The sequence below is a fragment of the Homo sapiens genome, chromosome 20 (assembly GCF_000001405.40).
Source record: "Homo sapiens chromosome 20, GRCh38.p14 Primary Assembly".
Taxonomy (NCBI): domain Eukaryota; kingdom Metazoa; phylum Chordata; class Mammalia; order Primates; family Hominidae; genus Homo; species Homo sapiens.
Genome location: NC_000020.11, coordinates 30228094 through 30235400, shown reverse-complemented (window position 1 = coordinate 30235400; position 7307 = coordinate 30228094). Strand labels below are relative to the sequence as shown.

The following is a 7307-nucleotide window of genomic DNA, read 5'->3' as shown; positions in this document are numbered from 1 at the left end:
ATGCTTACCTTGAAAGAAAGAGGACTTAAGGCAACATTAGTTGTTTTCAAATATCTGAGGGCTTGCCAATGAATGACCAAGGGGAAAAATTGTATACAGCCATTAAGGGTGGAGAAAGAAATGGTGGATACAAGTTTTAGGATGGCATATGTAAACTACTCTAAGGAATTAATAATTACTAGCATACATGGATTGCTTTAAGGGATGGGGGACACAAACAGCAGGGTCAAAACAAAGTCTTATGGTCAGGAATACCGTAGAGAAAATACGACCATTGAATGGGGAGTTAGACTAATTAAGCTGTATAGACCTTTTCAATTGTGATTAAAATTGTGTGAGTTATATGAAATTGTATGAGATAGTACTGATATTTAAGGATTATTTTATTATTTTCCTATTTGTCAGGCTAACAAGAGTGAAGGCAATGCATGATAAATGTGGTATAGTGATGATTAGTAGATTTAGAGTTGCAAACACGGAGCTTGAACTCAGAATTCAGTTCTATCACTGACATTAGTAAACTAGAATAAATAACTTATATGAGACTCAATTCATTTATTAAACATAATGATAATTATACTATATACCTCACAAGGTTATTATGTGAGTTAAATTAGGTAGCATGTATTCAGTACAATGAACTCTTAGAAATGGCCTAATATGTGCACTTGTAACTGTGACAAGCTGAGTCACAAAGAGAGGAAGTGGCAGTTGCAGCCTAAAATTTTGCTGGGTTTTTATGACACATACAGAGATAACTAAAATTCAACAGGGTAAATGTTATAACAGAGGTGAATTTAAAAGTATCTTATGAACAAATGAAGTTGAGAAAGGTTGATTTTGGAGATGAATTAGAAAAACATGCAAAAAAGAAGTGCCATAAATCTTGCAAGACAAACAGTATTTAGGAAGTATGTAAAAATATACCAGAAATAGTCAGCATGAGCAAATGCATAGATATTGAATAACAATCTGCCTAAGCTCTCTCTCTGAAAAATAAAATAAAATAAAATGTAAGCCCTTCATGGGGAACAACAAATAGTAAAAGCTGACTTGACTATGTATTTGAACACACCTGGTATGGTACATGGAAGGTAGCAGGTACACAATATGTGCTTTTCAAAAAACAGAGTGCTTGACTTCTGGTTCTGGCCATAATAAAATAATGGATTTCAGACTGAATCTTCTGCTGTAAACAACTATAAAACTAGACAAAATGTACCATGTGCCCATTTTAAAGCATTGTACAACACACAGCATAGAGTCATGATCCTTGAAGTGAACTCCACATTTAAAGCTGGCCTTTTATATAGGGATACTTCCAAACTGCAGGAAAGGAAAGAGGAGCCCAAATAGATCACAGCAATTTTTCTGAATGGAGAAACCTATTATAGGATGCAGCTGAGGTGGCTGGAATTTATGAAGAACATTCCAGAGAAGAAAGAGTCGAACTGAGAAAGAGATCTAAAAATCTACAAATGAGTCTTCTTGAATTTTTTGAGTGAACAACATATTATGCATGTACAGAGTAAGATTTCACAAAGCCACACAGAGAACAGTTTCTAAGGGGCCATGAGCGGAATGAGGATTTCACTGGTTCATCAATGTTGAAAGCCATTAGAGTTTCAACCAGTCAAAGTGAAAAGACTCACTGAGCATCTCCCAGTGTTTAAATAAGAACTCAGAAAAGTCAGCTTCCAAAGTAGGGCTCATCTACTCCTATCAGAAGAAATACTCTTAAATCAGCCTTAAAAACTTAAAAATAAGCACCAACTGGATCAAACTAATGTGCCAGTAAATTAACTGTCTGCTCAAAATAAAATTCAACACACTTCTACCAAAGACGGAAGTCTAGAATCTAAATAATATAGTATGAAAAATGTCAAATATAAAACAAAAACAATTATTAAACATGCAAAAATAGCAGAAACCTATGAGAAAATTAGGAGATAAATAAGCAATAGAAACAGACCTTAGATAGCCAGGATGTTGTTAAGAATAAAAACAAGCATTTTTAAGCTGGTATTAAAATATGTCCAAGGATTTAGAGGAAAATAAGAAAGACAGTGGAGAGATGTAGAATATCAACACAGTCATACAATTAAAATTCATAATTGTAGGTGGGAGAAAAGGCATGTAATAGAAAAGGGAATAATGATAAAAAATACTTCTGACTTCTCATCAGAACAAATATAAGCTAAATGAAAATCTAAAAATTATTTAAAGTATAGAGAATAAATAATAAGTCATTTCAGAATGATATATTCAGTGAAAATAATCTTCAAAAGGCAAAATTAACACTTTAATAAGGTTAAAATAATAGGTGAAAGAGTTTATTACCACCAGAAAAGCACTACAAGGAATGTTAAAGCATGCTCTTCAAGCACAAGAGTAGTGATAAAAAATATAAACTCACATCTACCAAAGATGTGGAGTGCTACTGGGGCACAAGAACAGATAGGTTTTCCTTAATGGACAATGACAACAACAAAAAATCTAATGTTTCAACAGGAAAATATGTAATTGTTCTTATCCTGAGATGATAGTTTTAATATCCCGATTTAGTAATTGTCATATCTGATTATCTTTGTCAGAAAAACTAACATATACAAGTTTTTTAACCCCAAAATATGAAGTCTTTTTATCACTTTATTGAGTCACGAGCTGCTATGGTTACCAAGAGAAAAGATTTTTGGAGCCCAAAGTCTTCTCAGGCTTATTTTTCTTTCCATTTCTTATTTCTATACCTTTAAAGATATTACAAAGGAATTTAAGAGCACCCATTGTAGGGCAAAAGTGAAGAAAAAAATTAACTGTGGGTATGTTATGATAAATTGCTTGTATTAGTTATGAAGCCAGCTATCTATAAGAATGTCCTTATCCAAACAACTGTATCTAGGATAAAAAATCCTGGAAAAGTGCCTTATCAATTCCAAAAACTTATCTCTGCATATATTATATAATGGAATTTGTTTTCCAGTATCTTATATAGCAATGTCATCAAGTTTATAAACTGGAAAATCTGCTAATTATTTTATGAGAATGGCAGAAGTCATTTAAAGTAGCCACATTCAACTCTGAGTGTATATGTGCATATGCCCATCAAAATACAAGCAGGGCTCAATAGGTAGTTTATGTTTGTGGGCAGGTAATCTCAAAAAATATTTACCTAAAAATCAACAGCCCTTCATGCTAAAAACTCTTAATAAATTAGGTATTAATGGGACATATCTCAAAATAATAAGAGCTATTTATGACAAACCCACACCCAATATCATACTGAATGGGCAAACACTGGAAGCATTCCCTTTGAAAACTGGCACAAGACAGGGATGCCCTCTATCACCACTCCTTTTCAACATAGTCTTGGAAGTTCTGGCCAGGGCAATCAGGCAGGAGAAGGAAATAAAGGGTATTCAATTAGGAAAAGAGAAAGTCAAATTGTCCCTGTTTGCAGATGACATGATTGTATATCTAGAAAACCCCATCATCTCAGCCCAAAATCTCCTTAAGCTGATAAGCAACTTCAGCAAAGTCTCAGGATACAAAATCAATGTGCAAAAATCACAAGCATTCTTATACAACAATAACAGTCAGAGAGCCAAATCATGAGTGAACTCCCATTCACAATTGCTTCAAAGAAAATAAAATACTTAGGAATCCAACTTACAAGGGATGTGAAGGACCCTTCAAGGAGAACTATAAACCACTGCTCAGTGAAATAAAAGAGGATACAAACAAATGGAAGAACATTCCATGCTCATGGATAGGAAGAATCAATATCATGAAAATGGCCATACTGCCCAAGGTAATTCATAGATTCAATGCCATCCCCATCATGCTACCAAGGACTTTCTTCACAGAATTGGAAAAAACTACTTCAAAGTTCATATGGAACCAAAAAATAGCCCACATTGCCAAGTCAATCCTAAGCCAAAAGAACAAAGCTGGAGGCATCACGCTACCTGACTTCAAACTGTACTACAAGGCTACAGTAACCAAAACAGCATGGTACTGGTACAAAAACAGAGATATAGACCAACGGAACAGAACAGAGCCCTCAGAAATAATGACACACATCTAAACTATCTGATATTTGACAAATCTGACAAAAACAAGAAATGGGGAAAGGATTCCCTATTTAATAAATGCTGCTGGGAAAACTGGCTAGCCATATGTAGAAAGCTGAAACTGGATCCCTTCCTTATACCTTATACAAAAATTAATTCAAGATGGATTGAAGACTTAAATGTTAGACTAAAACCATAAAAACCCTAGAAGAAAACCTAGGCAATACCATTCAGGACATAGGCATGGGCAAGGACTTCATGTCTAAAACACCAAAAGCAATGGCAACAAAAGCCAAAATTGACAAATGGGATCTAATTGAACAAAAGAGCTTCTGCATAGCAAAAGAAACTACCATCAGAGTGAACAGGCAACCTACAGAATGGGAAAAAAAATTTGGAATCTACTCATCTGACAAAGGGCTTATATCCAGAATCTACAAAGAACTCAAACAAATTTACAAGGAAAAAAAAACTAACAACCCTATCAACAAATGGACAAAGGATATGAACTGACACTTCTCAAAAGAAGACATTTATGCAGCCAAAAGACACATGAAAACATGCTCATCATCACTGGCTATCAGAGAAATTTAAATCAAAACTACAATGAGATACCATCTCACACCAGTTAGAATGGTGATCATTAAAAAGTCATGCAACAACAGGTGCTGGAGAGGATATGGAGAAATAGGAACACTTTTACACTCTTGGTGGAACTGTAAAGTAGTTCAACCATTGTGGAAGTCAGTGTGGCGATTCCTCAGGGATCTAGAACTAGAACTACCATTTGACCCAGCCATCCCATTACTGGGTATATACCCAAAGGATTATAAATCATGCTGCTATAAAGACACACGCACACATATGTTTACTGTGGCACTATTCACAATAGCAAAGACTTGGAACCAAGCCTAATGTCCAATAATGATAGACTGGATTAAGAAAATGTAGCACATATACACCATGGAATACTATGCAGCCATAAAAAATGATAAGTTCATGTCCTTTGTAGGGACATGGATGAAGCTGTAAACCATCATTCTCAGCCAACTATCACAAGGACAAAAAACCAAACACCATATGTTCTCACTCATAGGTGGGAATTGAACAGTGAGAACACTTGGACACAGGAATGGGAACATCACACACCAGGGCTTGTCGTGGGGTAGGGGGGAGGGGGGAGGGATAGCATTAGGAGGTATACCTAATGCAAATGATGAGTTAATGGGTGCAGCACACCAACACGGCACATGTATACATATGTAACAAACCTGCACGTTGTGCACATGTACCCTAAAATTTAAATACAAAAATATATTTACCTAAAAATCAGTAAGACTGCTTAAATAAATAAATTGCAAATTATTCTGAGAATACATGATTATGAAATATTGTCAAGCCTAACAGAAATAAAGATAACAGTATAATCATTCTTGATAACCCCAAACTGAAGAGAACTCAAAGGCCCGCAAAATTTGAAAATGGGTTGTAAAAGCTGTGATATAGTCAAATAATTGAAAATTACTCAAAAATGCTACCAAAAAAGACACCAAAAGTATGTATTATATGATCACATCCATATAAAGTTTCAGAAAGGGCAAGATCAATCTGTAGTGATAGAAACAAGAATAATGGCTGGAGGGTGACGGGAATTGATTGTTAAGTGGCATGAGAAATTTCTGGGGGAATGTCAATGTTCTATGGGCTTTGGGTGGCTCAATCATGTATTTTTATCAAAAGTCATTGAATAATGACTTAAAAATTGTGCATTTCATCTTATCTAAAGTATACCAAAATTAAAAACAAGGAAAAATACTATCAAAAAATATGGAAAAGTAAACTTTCGCACATTAGTCTCAAAAACCAATGATTTCTGATGTTCTTTTTACTCTATCAATGTTTTTCATTTTGAATCATCTAGGTTTTTCTGTATTACTGTGCTTCAGCTCAGAGAGTGAATACTTAACAAAATGCAGAGTATGAATTTCAGTGAATTAATGGCCAAAAATAGGATATAAACAGATTATTGTGAGATTAGTATTTGCGGTATGCACAGTAGCCTCCCAAAGATGTCCACATCCTCATTCCTGGAATCTGTGAATATGGCAAAATGGACTTTGTAGCTGTAACTAAGGTTACAAACCTTAAGATAGGGCAAGCAGCTTTAAGTATCCAGGTGAACCCAATCTAATCATATAAACCTTCAAAAGCAGAGAACATACTTCAGCTGGAGAAAGAGAGGCTTGGCAGAGGGAGAAATTAGAAAGATTCTGCCTGAGAAGTTTCGGAGGCGTCATTGCTGGTTTTGCGATGTAGAGGCTCACATAGGAAGACTGGAGACAGGTTACTAGGAGCTGACACCAGCAACCACCAGTTGACACACGCAAGAAAACAATGACGTACAACTGTACAAGATACTGGGAATGGTGATACAACTGCAAACAACTAAATTCTGACAACAACCTTAATAAATCTGGAAATGTACTTTTACCAGAGCTTCCCAATAAGATCCCTGTTGATTGTCACCTTCGTTTGGACCTTGCCGGATGTTGAACAGGGGAGCTGGTTGAGCCCACTGAGACTTCAGACCTGCAGAAGTGTGAGATAATAATTTATGTTGCTGAAGCCATTAATTTAGTTGAAATTGTCATGGTGCCAATATAAAACAAATACTTTATTTTATAATGAGACTGGATAACGAAGGGCTTGTGTTGATTTTCAAGGAGATTGAAAAATATATCTCATAAATCTAGTGAAAACATGAAAGTTCTGGGGAGGATGAAATTGATAATATCTTTTCTATTTGTATGAATCCGTTTTTGCACTGCTGTCAAGAACTGCCTGAGACTGGATAGTTTATAATGGAAAGAGGTTTAATTGACTCACAGCTCTGCATGTCTGGGGTGGCCTCAGGAAGCTGACAATCATGGCGGAAGGTGAAGAGGAAGCAGGCACCTTCTTCACAAGGTGACAGAAGAGAGGGAAGTAGGAGCACAGGAAAAAACTGCCTCTTTTAAAACCAAAAGATTTCGTGAGACTCGCTATCACGAGAACAGCATGGGAGAAACCACCCACCCCCCCATAATCCTATCACTTCCCTCCCTCAACACGTGATAATGGGTGGGGACACAGAACCAAAGCATAGCAGCATTTATGTTAATTCTGCTACATCATTCCTGTTAGACCATCTCTCTCCGTTTTGTTTTCCTAGGATAGCCCATTGCTTGTATTAAAATC

General features: G+C 35.8%; 1 annotated feature.

Annotated features, from left to right (window-relative positions):
- Window positions 651–851: a silencer, noted in NCBI's record as "peak4181 fragment used in MPRA reporter construct". NCBI's record gives its function as "represses an SCP1 promoter by STARR-seq MPRAs in K562 erythroleukemia cells {active_cell/tissue: K562}" and the evidence as "EXISTENCE:reporter gene assay evidence [ECO:0000049][PMID:32103011]".